We start from the raw sequence: 15,722 nt of genomic DNA on the forward strand, positions 1-15,722 counted from the left end.
TATCTTAAAAATTCATGAAAATTTTATATTTGATTCTGTAATATACCTGTATTTTTAAAACAAAAATATATTAAATTATAAATATTTGAGAAAAAAATGACTCTTCAATGTGTCTCAGTTTGAGAAATGTAGTTTTAGAGAATATGTGTAATATATATAATCTTTTATTTATTCAATTTATTTAAATCAAATCGTTTCTGGGGAAAAAAAAAGGATTTGAGGTAGCTTAAGTAAAGGACACACATAAGGTTAATAGGAATATGTGACGTGCTGTGATCCATCCAATGAGGCCACCTCTTTCTAAACTCAGACTCTTCATTTAGGGAGGTGAGTTCCATTAAGGAACTTGAGATTTTCAGATAAATGGAAAATACTAGATAGAGAGGTATCTCATAGATAGCAAAGGTAAACTCTCATACAATCATTGAGCTAGGACATTAATGGTTCAGTGGTTCCCAATTCTAGATATACATTAAAATAAATTGAAAAGCCTTTTAAAAATACAGATTACTGGACCTACTGAATTATATCCTTTGGGGAGCCCAAGAACTTATTAAATTCTCTGGGCTATTTTTATGATTTCTCTGAGCTGTTACTGGGAACTACTGATTGAATCCATCTTTTATAGTAATGTTTCCAACAGAAGGCTGTTTGCCTTTGCTTAACATTATTTCCAGTGAAGTATTATTTTCCATTCTGGAGACAGTTCAAAAGTTTTTTTAAGTAACAGCTTTATTGAGACAATTTATATGCCGTACAATTCACCTAAAGTGTGTAATTCAGTTGTTTTTAGTATGTTCACAGAATTGTGCAGCTTGCATCTATCACCACAAATTTAGAACCTTGTCATAATCCCAAAAAGAAACCTTAAACTTATTAGCAGTCACTTCCCTATATTCCCACCCTGATCCACCACCACCCAAAGTAGCAACTTATCTGCATTTTGTCTCTATGGATTTGCCTATTCTGGACATTACATATAAATGGAATCATATAATATGTTGTCCTTTGTTACTGATCTCTTTGACTTAGCGTATTGTTTTCAATGAAGCATGTATTACTGTTTTATTTTCTTATTGCCAAATACGATTACATCGTGTGCATATACTGCATTTTATTTATCCATTCATCAGTTGATAGACTTACAGGTTGTTGCCGTATTTTAGCTATTGTAACTACTGTTGTGTGGATATTTTTATTTCTCTTGGATATATTTCTAGGAATGGAATTGCAGGGTCAAATGGTAACTCTATGTTTAACTTTTTGAGGAAATACCAAACTGTTTTCAAAAGTGGCTGTGGCATTTTACATTCTTACCAGAAGTGTATGAGTGTTTCAGTTTCTCCACATTCTCAGCAACACTTGCTATTATGTCTTTTTTATTATAGCCATCCTAGTGGGTATGAAGTGGTATCTCATACCCACAAATGAAGTGGTATCGCACTGTAGTTTTGATTTGTGCTTTTTTTGATGGCTGGTGATACTGAGCATCTTTTCATGTGCCTATTGGCTATTTGTATATATCCTTTGGAGAAATGTCTATTCAGATCCTTTGCCCATTTAAAAATTGGATTGTCTTTTATTGTTCAGTTGTAAGAGTTCTTTATTCTGAGCATAAAAATAAACAAAAGACAAAGAGTCACATCCATTAGTATTTATTGCTTGTATACTGTGCATTGAACACTGTTCAATATGGAACTTGACCTCAAGAAGTCTAAATTTTATGGAGGTGGCTGGGTGCAGTGGCTCATGACTTGTAATCCTAGTACCCTGTCTCTCAATCAATCCATCAATAAATTTTAGGGAGGTAAGACGTAGATATCTAAAAGCAAATACAGGTAGTATATAATTAAAATGTTGGAATAATTGAAACAAAAGCAATGCTATGGGGTAGTTAAATACTGTTTTTCACGTACAATATGTGATGTGAGAAGAGAGGATGTTCAATAAATTAAGATGGAGTCTCCATTGTAATAAAAAAGGAAAATTATTGTAGGTTGGAATTTTGGGATTAAAATAATCTAGAAGAAGTTAAGTGATGGGTAGGTTATGCTATAGCTGTCACCCAATTGCTTCTTTAACTTGAACTTCTTCTCTTTTGCTCTTTTGCTCCTTGCTCAGCCCTTTCCAGCCACAGAGGCATCCTTGCCATTCCTCAGACATTCTAAACACACTCCCACCTTAGGGCCTTTTCATTTGCTATTGACCATTTTTTATTTACTCTACCTGTAACCCTTCCTGCACTTACCTGAATGGCTTGTTCTCTCCTTTCTTGAAGTGTCATTATATCAGAGAGGCTTTCCCTGACATCCCTATGCAAAATAGCAATACTCTCCTCAGTACATTCTCATCTTTGTTGTGGTCTGTTTTCTTCAAAGCACTTATCATCATTTGATGATTTTTGGTTGCTTGTTTGGTGTCTGTCTCTGCCAGGGTGACCAACTGCCTTGATTTGCCCTGGACTGAGGGGTTTTCTGGGATGCAGGACATTCAGAGTTAAAAAAGGGCAGTCCCAGGCAAACTGGGATAATGAGTCATCCTTGTCTTTTCACTGGATTGGCAGCTTCAGGAGAGAGTGGAATTTGTTCACTGCTATATCCTGGTAATTTGAAGAGTGCCTGGTATGTAGGGGTATACAATACATGTTTGTTAGATGAACAGATTTCCTTTAAGGTTCTGTATCCCTTAAGGGACTTGCAGCTTTCCAGGACTAGAAAATACACTTTAGATTAAAATTTTAAAAAGTAGAAAAAAAATTTAGAGAAATTTGGAGGGATAAAAATAAAATCAGTTAACAGAACCTCTGAAACTATGATTTTCAGCCTTTGTTTTGCAACACCCTGTGGTATGTTCATCTCCCTCAAAGGATATTATGAAATTCTTTACCCCCAAGGTAATAATGATAATTCACTTTAACTTAAAATGAAGTTGCATAAAGGAGGAAGGGTGGATCATAAATTTAAATGAGAAAAGCATGTTGCAATTATAGTAGGTTGGAAACCTCTGCTATCTGACTTCCCGGTTTGAGGAAGCTGAGGGTAATTTAGTGTTTGGGACAAGCATCTTCAGGGTAGTGAACCTAATGCTACTGCAGGTATTGGTCACTGGTTGTATGAGTCCTTCAGTGACTGTTCTGCTTGCGTAGAATGTAAGAGTACCAATGCCTTGTCACTTTTCCTCCTGTGCTCTTCATTGTGCTACCTACAGAAGGACATCTTCTGAATGTGTCCTTGCAAAATAGTTCCCATCCCCAGTATACACAAAATATATACAAAGAATGCACTAAGCTGAAATGGACTGCATGTCACACACTTGAAAAACGCTATCCCGATGGATGGTGCTCGATGCCTAGACACTTTTAAGTGCCTTGGCCTACAACATATTTTAAAATAGAATGTTCTCTCATTTTTCAAATCTCCATTTGGTGCCTCATTTGAGACCTGTAAAGCACTTGTCCTTAGCCCTGAAGCTGAACATAGTGCTCAAGACAGATAAGCAGAATTATAGCACAGGGTGACAAGTGTGGAGATAGAGGTATATGTACAGAGTACTGTGGGAACATGGAGAGGGGCACTTTACCATATCCATGTATGTGTGGTAAGTACCAGGGACTTGGAAACATATTATTTGATTTTTTATGAATAATGTATCTCTCTTAGGTAACTATTATTAACAAATAACATTTATACAGAAGAGTGTATAAATCACGTGTATAGCATGGTGAATTTCCAAAAGGTAAACACACCTGTGTAAGTAGCACCTAGATCAAGAAATGATATTTCCAACATCCAGAAGCCTCACTCATGTCCTGTTCCATCACTATGACCACCTTGCCTCAGAGTAAACACTATGCTGACTTATGATGTCATCATTATTTTTGCCTCTCTTTGATCTTCGTACAAATGAAATCAAACTATGTGCTTGTCTTCTTTCACTCAATGTTTATTTGTGAGTGTCATCCATGTAGTTACTTTGGTTGTTGTTCATGCTCATTGCTGATAGTATTCTATTGTATGAGCATACCACAGTTTATCCATTCTACTATTGATTGACACTTAGGTTATTTTCAGTTTTTTTGCTGTTGTGAATATTGCTACTGTGAACATTCTTGTACATGTCTTGGTTAATGCACATGTATCCATTCCTGATGGCTGTGTATTGAAGGGTGGACTTGCTGGGTCATATAGTATAGATGATAGGACAGTTTGAGGTTTCTCAACTTTATTAGTTTATCAGTTAGGGTCCAGTCAGGAGACAGAAACCATAGCAGTAATTTGAATAGGGAAAATTTAATATAGAGAATTACTTACCTAAAGGGGTAAAGGAGATCTCTAAAGAATGCAAGACTAGCAGTTGTAGGGAGCAGCTATTCTAGAGCTAAGGGAGAGGAATAAACTTTGAAGACCCTTTCCCCCATCACACCCCGTCACAGCTGAGATTCCTACCTCCTTGTTGGAGAGGGTGTGGCTGCAGGCTACGGGAAGATGAAGACCTTCACTGGGGTGCTGTGGGCCAGAATTGGTGCAGGTGGCCTACTGGGTGCTGGTAAGCCAGAGCTGGCAAAGTGGAAATGGGCTGGTTTCAGTGAAACAGGCTGGAGGATGAGCACTAATAGGTCTTCTGCATGGCTCTGGCAGCACCGTGGGAGCAAGGAGGAAAGTACACAGAACCAGGATAAGAAGCTCCTCCCTCTGCTGTGCCTTGCACTGTTCCTCCATCACTCTCTGTTGACAAGCTGAACACTGCACCCACTGGCAGAAGAAAAATGTTTACAGGGTCTGGCCCCCGCTTCATAAACAGGGTAAAGCAGAATGGCTTTGGGAGATGAGAGGCAATAAATGAATGAATAGCACAACTAGATAATGGCAAACTTATCTTCCAGTTTATTATTTTTCCTATTAAACCCATCCTCATGAGTTCTTTTTTGTTTGTTTGTTTTTCTTAGATGGAGTCTTGCTCTGTTGCCCAGGCTAGAGTGGAGTGGCTCAATCTCGGCTCACTGCAAGCTCCGCCTCCCGGGTTCACGCCATTCTCCTGCCTCAGCCTCCCGAGTAGCTGGGACTACAGGCGCCCGCCACCACACCTGGCTAGTTTTTTTATATTTTTAGTAGAGATGGGGTTTCACCATGTTAGCCAGGATGGTCTCCATCTCCTGACCTCATGATCTGCCCACCTCGGCCTCCCAAAGTGCTGGGATTACAGGCGTGAGCCACTGCACCTGGCCCCTCATGAGTTCTTAATTTTAGAGAATATGTTCTTCAGTTTTACAATTCTATTTGATTATTTTCTGTAAATTCCAATTATCTGGTTAACTTATCTTTTCATCTATATCTAAATGGCTTTCTCCACTTTCTTGCTTGTGTTAATTGTATTTGTTTTCCAGTCCATGTGAGCTAATTTTAATATCTGGAATATCCTTTGATTTTTCTGTGTGTGTTTCGTTTGCTTTTTTCTTGGTTATCCATCATGTGGTTCTGTTTTTGGTGTTTCTGGTAGTTTTGAGTGAATGTCAGACATTCCAGTTAAAAAACTACAGAGGCTCCAGATAACGCAGTCTTCTTCCAGAGAGAGGGTTTACTGTCCCCTCTGATAGGGACATAGGCTGATGTGATTGGATGGTCACTTTAATCCAGTCAGGGTTTTTGCTGAGTCGAAGCTAGTTTATGGCTTTGGTAAGAGTCTGTTTACTTCTGGTTCACTTCTGTTCTGGGATAGTGCTCTTCAGGGTTTTACTTGGGAGATTGGAGTGGCCAGTGTTCCTAAACAATTCTAAGTGCCTTGGCCCACAACATACTTCAGAATAGAATTCTCTGTCGTTTGTCAAATATTTAAACACACAAGCAGTGTGGATCTCAAATTCTAAATGTTGTCTTACAAGACTGCTGATTGCTTTGCTCTGCTTTTCAGAGGCGTTTTCTTAATTTTTAGCTTCTGACCTGGGCTACGCCAGAATTCATCAAAGTCTTGAGAGGAGCTGGCTGCATGTTTGAGGTCTCTCAACACTCTGCCAAAAGCTCCAATGGTTCCTCTAAGCCTCAGCAGCAGTTTTGTGACTGTGCATAGCCTGGATTCTCAGCCTCCCTCCTGTACCCTAAATTTGCAAATGTCCCCAGGGTAGGAGCAGCTGCAGACATCAGCTCCTCTCCTTGAGGTTTTCTCCTCTTGATTCTCAGCCTCCCAGTTCTCATTTCTTCCATAGATAGCAAATGCCTTCAAATAGATTTCTATATTTTATTTAGCTTTCTAGTTGTTCTTATTGAGAGTGCTGATCTGTACAGAGCTACTTCGTCCCACCTGGAAGTCCTCTCCATTATATTTTGAGAATATATAATTTTAAAATTTACTTTCAAAGCAAAAGTACAAAAGACTTCAGCAGATCATAAAATACAATGTACATGTATTACACCTTGGTAAGAATACAGAATTAATAAAATTAATCAATAATTAATAAAAATGTTTGATATTAATAAAATGTTCAATAACAAATTATTAAAATGAAGATAACTGTACTTCTTCCTTTTATATGAAAACCTAGGTGTTCACTTCCAATATATATATTCCTAAGGTAGAAATAAAGCATTGTTAACATGGCATCTCTGGTTCTCTTGAGTTGTAATCAAAGGATGCATCATCAGTAAATGACCCAAGAGAATATGAGAAAATTACTAGAAATTTTGGTGGAGAACTGGTTTGTGTGTTGATGAACTAAAAACTACTGTATTTCTACTATGTCTGTTTCATCAGCCAGGGAAACATTTTATGAAGTAGGAAGAAAGTTGATGTTATTTTTTAAAAAATATACTTCCTAAAGGAAGACAGTAGAAGAACCCTGGTTCAAAATTAAGATTTATGATTTCATCTGTTTTCTAAAGGTGTTGCTATTATAGCTAATTATAGATTAAGAAGAGTATTAATATATACACATATGCATACACATATAATTTGAAAGCATGTGTTATAAACAAGGCTTTAAAAGTGCAGTTGTAGAAAAACAGAGCACCTTGAAAGCACAAACAAGGTATATTAAAAACATTCACTCTCCTAAGACAAATAAAAAAAGGCAAACCAAGTTATTTTTTGAAATCCAATGGCAAATATAACATTTAGCAGATGTTGCCAGTTTTGATTTACTCTATTGAATTTGTAAAACAGCTATTGGGAAAATGAGGTACGGAGTTGAGTATAAACCATTGCAGTTCAAGAATATGCTTATCCAGGGCCAGGCATGGTGGCTCAGGCCTGTAATCTGAGCATGCTGGGAGGCTGAGGTGGGTGGATCATGAGGTCAGGAGTTTGAGACAAGCCTGACCAACATGGTGAAACCCCGTCTCTACTAAAAATACAAAAATTAGCTGGGCATGGTGGCGCGCACCTGTAATGCCAGCTACTCAGGAGGCTGAGGGAGGAGAATCGTTTGAACCTGGGAGGTGGAGGTTGCAGTGATCCAAGATCATGCCACTGCACTCCAGCCTGGGAAACAGAGTGAGACTCAGTCTCAAGAAAAAAAAATGCTTATCCAGAGGAGTTATTTAATCAGTTTTGAAGATTACCCATTGTCTTTGGTTGGTCGTCTCTCGTCATCCATCCGCTCTTTGTCGCCTCCTCTTCTCTCCATCACTCCCTTCAAAGAGCTGGATTTAAACAAAAAATATTAATAATAATTATTATTATTAGCATTCGAAATACAAGTAAATACCAAGAAAAACCAGTCTATAACCCTAGATGAGTTAAAGATGAATATTCACAGTTTAGTAGATTTTTATTTCCGGTGTTTTTCTGCCTATGCCACATGGACATACGTTTGTCTACATTTTTCAGTTTTTTTTTTACTTTATATATTATCATAAGCATTTTTCCTAAGACATTACAGATTTATCTTAAGCACCTTTTAAAATTGGTTTCTGTTCTTTTGATCTGTTCCTGATTGCTAGCACCTCTGCAGGAAGATAAAAGATGTATCTCAAACCAGTCCTTTTTCTTTATTTTTGTTTGTTACTCATAGAGAGTTCCACTTGAATCTAAATGAAATGGTGATTACTTGTGAATTCTTAACCATCTTTCCCCTTACTGTGAATAACTAATAGTTGGTTATGGTTGATAACTTACTAAAAAAAGCTATTAATTCGTTATTTTAAGACTACTGTCTGTGAACAAGGCTTTTACCTTTGTTTCTCTTAAGAAAGTAAGGGAGAAAGGAAGGTTTTAGTAACATCAAAATTGTTTTTAGCTAATATATGTATAGCATTGAGTAGAAGATAGAGAACCAACCTTTCAAGAGGACTTTGGTTTAATTGGAGAATCAGGACTTAGACATTAAAAGGGAAATATTGTAGCAAATTACAGTACAGTATATTATCATAGCACATTATATACACCTTTGTAGCATTGTATTCTGTCTAGTAATTGCTTGTTTACCTTTTTGTCTTCTGTACATTTGTGAGAACACCTTGAAGGCAGAGACTATTATCTTACTTGTCTTTAGTTTTCCTAACATCTATTTGTGGTACCAGGCACACTAAGATTTTTTTTTTGTTTTTATTTTAATGAATGAATATGCTGAGTGCCACATTAATGATACAAGAAGTCTGATAAAGTAGAAAGTAGTGCTTATTGTACCTAAGGTGATCTGAGACTTTATGGAAGAAGAAGGGTTCTAGCTGACTCTTCAAGCAGGAGTAGGATTTAGAAGGCAAGAGATGGGGGGATGGCACTGTAGACAGGGGACAAAAGTACAGAGAAGCATCATATACCAAGGATGGCATATTGGAAGCACTGAGCAAGCCAGTTGGCTTGGAGTAGTTTGCATAGGCAAATAGTAGAAAATACGGTTACAAAAGTAGGTTGAAGTAGAATTGTAAGGGGTTTAGAATACAGTGCTAAGGATTATTCATTGCCAGTCTAAGCTGTGATTTTAAAAAACTTCCACAGCCTTAGGTTTTGTTTTCCTTCTTCCTAGTATGATTTAACCAAGACGTTGAAACTTTTGTGAGATGTTCATGATTTGAGGATAATATTTTTTTCTTTATGGTACTAAGGATTTCAGAAATTTTTAATGCCTTTTTAGCCACTTGCTGTTAAGCACGCTTCCTGAAATAGTTACGAACTTCATGTGTATACATTAGTTTTTCAGAGGAGTCAGACTTTTATTATACATTTAAAAAGAATGTGTAGTTGCTTGCTGATTATATTCCCTCAGGATCTTTAAATTAATTATTTCATATTCTTCACTTGTTTCAAAGGCTGTTCTTACAAATAGCTTGCTTTGTGTGCTTTTGGTATACAGGATCTTCTGAGGGAAGGGCTATTTATCTTTTAATAAAGTTTTAATTTTAGAATTTTTGTTTTAGATTTATAGAATTGCTGCCAAGACAGTACAGAGAGCAGAGAGTTCCTAAGTGCCCCACATTCAGCTTCCCCTATTGTTAATATCTTATATTACTATGGTACATTTGTGACAATTTGTCCACAAACCAGTAATGATATATTATTATTAACTAAAGTCCGTACTTTATTCCGATTTTAAAAATTTTTTCTTAATGTCCTTTTTCTATTCTAGGATACCATCTAGGATTCCACATTGCATTTAGTCTTCATGTCTGTTTGGGTTCCTTTTGTGACAGTTTCTCATATTTTCCTTGTTTTTGATAACTTTGATGGTTTTGCAGAGTAACTGGCCAGGTATTTTATAGAATGTCACTCAGTTGGGATTTGTCTGATTTTTTTTCATGTTTAGGCTATGGTTATGGGCTTTTGGTAGAAAGACTTCAGAGGTACAAATCCATTTTCATCACATATCAAGTCATATTGATAGCCACATACTATTGATATGACTTTGCACTATTGTTGACCTTAATCACTTGGCTTGAGGGAGTGTTTGCTACCCTGTAAAGCTACTCTTTCTTTCCCCCTTTTATCCTTTACTATGGAAGGGTCTCACTGTGTGCAACCCACAGAAGTGGGAGTTATGCCCTCTTTGAGGGCAGTATCTACATAAATTATTTGGAATTCTACTGCCTGGAAGATTTGTCTATTCTCTCCATTTATTAATTTATTCAATCATTTATTTGTATCAGTATGGACTTATAGATATTTATTTTATACTTTGGGTTACAGTCCAATACTATGTTATTTATTTTGTTCTTCAAATTCTTCCAGCTTTGGCCACTGGAAGTTCTTCCACTTGGTTCCTATATTCCTTTGATATGCCCCCATCATTATAGATGTTTTTATTTGTTTGTGTTTTTTTGTGGCATTTTCTTACTTTCTGGCACTATGAGATGATCTTGGCTCATCTTGTCAGTTTCCTGCTCCAGTCTTAGTATCAGCCATTTCTCCAAGGAACCCTTGTCCTTTTTATTGGAGAAAGGTCTTAGAAACCAAGATCTTAGTGCCAGATGTGCTTGTTGCTACTGGGATGTCATTGCTTTTATTTAGGTCCTTTCAGCTCACAGAGCAAGGAAATGTGCATATCTATAAATATTTGTCTATGTAGCCATCTGTACCTATATTAAGGGAAACATGATTTTACTGATGTCTTCAACTCTTATCTACTTCCACATGGATCATTCTAGTCACCAGGAAGGATTATTTTAAGATCCCATTTGTGTATGTACTGACGTCTGCCTTCCTGTGATATTATTCCTTTTTGTTAGTTAATTCCTACTACAAACATGTATTGAGCCTGTATTATATTTAAGGCTTGCACTAGGTGCAAGGGATACAAAAATGAATGATTCATTGATGCATTCACAGTTTCTTCAATACCTGTTTATTGAATACCTCATATTTAGGCACTGTGCTCCATGCTCACACTTTAGTAGTGGAGAAAATATGGCTACAGACAGTTATGCTATAAGGCAGGATGGAACTGTGATACAAGGTAGAAAAGAAAGTGTGTTCTTGTGTTGCTATTAAATAGTATGTAAGACTGAGTAATTTATAAAGAAAAGTAGTCTATTTGGGCTCACAGTTCTGCAGGCTGTACAGGAAACATAGTGCTGGCATCTGCTTCTGGAAAGAGCCTCAGGGATCTTACAATCATGGCAGAAGGCAAAGGGGAAGTAGGCGTATCACATGGTGAGAGCAGGAGCAAGAGAGAGAGGAGGGGGGTGCTACACTTCTTCAAACAATCAGATCTCATGTGAATTCAGAGTGAGAACTCACTCATTACCATGAGGATAGACCCGCCCCTATGCACCAAACACCTCCCACCAGGCCCCACCTCCAACATTGGGAGTTAGATTTCAACATGAGATTTGGAGGGGACAAATGTCCAAACTGTATCAGAAAGGTAATAACAGAGTTCAAATGAAGAAGAAATTACTTCAGGAAAGGCAATCACATGATGAATTGTAGCAGTTAGAACTTGATGAGATGCAAGTGACAGAAAATACAATCAAACAGGTAAAAAAAAAAAAAAAAGGAATTTATTGATTCATATAACAGTAAAGACCAGGGGTAGAACTAGCTTGGGGTGCGAATAGTTTTAGGGCTTAAACAATGTTATCAGGGCTTTGCTCTGCCTTCTGCTCACGCTGATATTACTCTTAGGCTCTTCCTAGTATCTCCTAGTACTTCTAGGTGAACATCACAACACCAAGTTCCGAAGAAAAGAAAGTCTGGTATCACAAAGTCTTGGAATTGAGACTTGTCTTGACTTTCCTCATATAGGTCATTGTATCTGTGAACATTATTGCTCTGGGGAATAGAATGTGCTGATGAGCTTAGCTTTGTACATGTGCTCCATCTGTTTCACAGATGTTGATTTTGTGATTGTTATTAATTAAGGTATTCATTTTTGTTTTGTGAACTTGTCCATATATTTGTTATATTTTGCAATAAAGTTTTTTTTAAAAAAGCTAAATATATTCAGTATATAAATATTAATCAATGTAATTACTCAGATTCAGGTAGTCCACTTAATCCTAAGATGGCTATCTACAAAGAAATTTACTCCTAGACACATCATGGCAAATTACAGAAAACCAAAGACAAGGAGAAAAATCTAAAAAAAGAAACCAGAGAAAACAAAAGAGCAACCATTAGATTGTTAGCTGACTTCTTAATAGCATTAATGAAAGAGAGAATACAGTTTAGTGATATATTTAATGTGATAAACTAAACAACTGTTTAAAATCCTATACCTAGCAAAAAGATGATTGACTAATTTAAGTGAAATAAATCCATTTTCAAGTAAACAAAAGCAGAGACTTCATCATTAGCAAACCTTTGCTAATTCTTCAGGGAGATGAAAGACAAAAATCTCAGGTGGAAGATAGAGATGCGGAAAGGAGTAAACGGCCACAAAATATAATAAAGGGAGCCAGTAGCTAAAGAGGGTATAAAATTATAAATCATCTAGAGGGTGTTTTAGCTAGAATTGTTTTATACATTTTGGTGATTATTAGGATTTATGTTCCCAATATACTTCATGTAGGCAAATACTAGAATTATGTGACTTCTTGGTGTTTACTGATTTGGGAGTGGGGAAGTGAGTGACTGTAGGGTGAAAAAAGAAAATGACATTAAAGCTTTGTTTTGCAAGTAGATAATTTAGTGTTGACCATGTCTGCCATCCTGCTTTCTACATTTCTCTTCTTGTATTGCTGTGTGGTGCTGTGATTATTTCATGGGGAAATCAGGAATGTATTGATTGCTGGATCCTAGCTCCCAGAGATTTCAATTTATTTATTTAGTCTGGGGTAGAACCTGGGCATCAGTGGTTTTAGAAAGTCAATTCTAAGGCTGGGCAACATGGCAAAACCTTGTCACTACAAAAAACAAAAATTAGCCAGGCATGGTGGTGCGCACCTGTAATTGCACTACTTGGGAGGCTAAAGTGGGAGAATCGTTTGAGCCTGGGAGGTTGAGGCTGCAGTGAGCTGAGATTGTACCACAGCACTCCAGCTTGAGCGACAGAGTGAGACCCTGTCTCAAAAACAACAAACAAACAAAGCCAATTCTAGTGTTATAGCCAGAGTCGAGAACTACAGGTATTGAAAATGAACATGGGCGAGACAGATCTGAACTCTAGATTTAGTTTTATTGATTACTAGGTGGATTATGCAGGATCTATGTATTTATTTATTGATAAAACTGATAAGTACCTGTCTCACAAGGCCATTTTAGGGAATAAAGACAGTAATATTTGAATGTAAAAATGGAAAGAAAACCAGAGGTGTGGAGGCCAAAATGACCAAGGACAACATATAATCATTACCAGAGAGAGCTTAGCACATGGATGTATTTTCAAAGAAGCCCTAAGTTTACCTTTGTAATTGAAGCAGTTTGTTTTGATTTTTGTACTTATCTTTCAACTCATATAGCAATGAGGTTTTGTGCTTAATGAAGTCTTTAGGATTGGGATTGCTCTGCTGTACTTGGGTTATCTACAAGAATGGGCACATTACAGAGGAAGAGTCTCATAAATTTTGAACCTGGTTCTAATATATGTTTTCTCCAACATTTTTAAAAAGCAAAAAAAAAAAAAACACTTAGCCATTAAAAAACATTTTTCAGAGAAATTATCTACATCCTGCTGAGAATTTTATGCCAAACTGCAGCCCCCACACAAGCTTTGGAGAGCCAAGATATTTAAACCTGTAAAGGAAAACGCCAGCTCAGCCCTTACACTGGTTTGATGTAATCCTTTAACCACAGAATGGTTTCTAGCCTTGAATTGACAATGACTCAGTAGACCTTGTATACGTTTTAAGAATGTTTTTAAGTAGGTAGGATTACAAAAATAGAAGTACAACATTATTATGAACAAAACATTCAACACATTGAATACAGTTTCTTGAATCTGTTTCAAGAACATTTATGAAGAAACCAGATTGAAAAATAAAGTCTGGATTATTATAGAATTTTCAAAAGAAGGACAGCTAATTACTTATAGTATCTAAAATAGTCTACCAGAGGTTATCAGTCACTTTTTAAAATCAAAGGAGGTGGTTCTTTAGGAGGTTAAAAAATTAATTTGCACAAACACTAATTGACATAACAATTACATATAATTTGTGTGTTTAAAGATACTTTTTTTTTTTTTTTGGTTAAGATATGGGGTCTCTGTTGCCTAGGCTGGAAGTGTGGCGGCACAATCACAGCTCACTGCTGCCTCGACTTCCTGGGCTTAGGTGATCCCACCTCAGCCTCCTGAGTAGCTGGGACCACACTTCCATGCCTGGCTTAAAAATACATTTTAAAAAGACTTATTTATTTTAGTAATTTGAAGATGTTTCCAAGGTTAACATGAACTTTAGCCTAGTTAGCGCCTCTGGGAATTATTTTTAAAAAGCAAAATGTGTCTCAATGAGATTTGACTTTAATTTAAAACTAATTTAATGTACTAGTTAACCATTTATTTTACTTTCAACTACTATCTAGGTTCTACTCCAAATTCAGTAAATCTATACAGATTAAATTAAAAAGCATTTTCAAGTTGGGAAAAGAGATAACTATTTCAAACTTTTGAGTTTATATATTTTTATTGATATATAAATAGAACTGAATAGAAATACTTTTGGAATGAGCTATAGATTTATTTTATGTATGTATCTTGTCTAGTTCATAGTGAATACATCATAGACAACCTTAGCTGTGTTTTACTGAATTAGAAAATCTGTCATAGTGATTGTCAACCTTTTAATACTAAACACAAATAATTGAAATACTGTCTGTTAATCTAAGGATTTTGACTTCCTGAAGAGAGCTTTAAGTCCATTTCTTATGTTTTGTTAGTATTTTTTGGACTTTTTAATTTGTAATTATTAAATTTGAGATAAAAATTTTTGTGCTGTTTTGCAGCATGCCCTGTGAAAATTTTCTTTTTCAAGGAAACAATGCATTTTAAAATGTTTGTAACATTTAGAATAAAGGACTAAGGGTGTTTTGAAAATTGATAAATTTTTAAGCCAGATTAAACAATTAAGATTAATTGCATACCTTCTTTAACTTTTAGCTTCATGTCATGGCTATAAATTTGTAAGTAGCCATTTTAGAAATCCAATTATAATTCTTAGGTATAATTTTCAGAAATCAAAACAACAAAATTAATTACAACTGTAGAATTTCCTTATTTGAAAAACTTTCTATTTTGGGGTATTGTATAATGAATCCCCATGGATCTCGTTTCAATAATTGCCACGTCATAATCTTGTTTCATCTATACTCCTATTCACTTACTGCCTAGTAGCATTGTAGTTTGAAGCAAACCCCACATATTATGACACTTCATCTGTAAATATTTCAGTATAATATGCAAAAATATAAATCTTTTAAAAAGCATAACCAAAATACCATTATCTTATCTAAACAAATTGACAGTAATTCCCTAGCATCATCAAATAACCAGTCATTGTTCAAATTCCTAATTGTTTGAATTAAGATCTATGCATTGTGATTGTTATGTCAAGTCTTTTTAAGTTACTGGTTTTCTCCATCTTTTTTTTCCCCTTTTTTGCAATTTATAGCTGCAGAAACAGGGCCATTTGTCCTAGAAAATTACCACAGACTAGATTTTGCTGATTGTATCTCTGTGGTATAGTTTAACATGTTCCTTTCTTCCTCTGCAGTTCATATAAATTGGTAGTTGGATATATGTCCCAAATTTCTTGTACCTTAAATTACTTGGTACATAGTCACAAACCAAAAGTAACCCTGGTTTCCCCTACCATCCTGGTTTCTAAATTTTGTGAAATAGCTGAAATAAGGACTATGTGCTT

At 36.0% G+C, this 15,722-nt stretch overlaps 1 protein-coding gene and 1 non-coding gene across 15 annotated transcripts in view; both read left to right on the plus strand.

Annotated features, from left to right (window-relative positions):
- Positions 1–15,722, plus strand: part of BABAM2 (BRISC and BRCA1 A complex member 2) — a 450,193-nt gene that overhangs the window by 101,947 nt on the left and 332,524 nt on the right. The window lies entirely within an intron of this gene.
- MIR4263 (microRNA 4263) lies at positions 5,712–5,794 on the plus strand. The gene has a single exon (NR_036230.1). It is a non-coding gene; the product is annotated as a microRNA 4263 (primary transcript).

Source organism: Homo sapiens, chromosome 2, assembly GCF_000001405.40.
Source record: "Homo sapiens chromosome 2, GRCh38.p14 Primary Assembly".
NCBI classification, from domain to species: domain Eukaryota; kingdom Metazoa; phylum Chordata; class Mammalia; order Primates; family Hominidae; genus Homo; species Homo sapiens.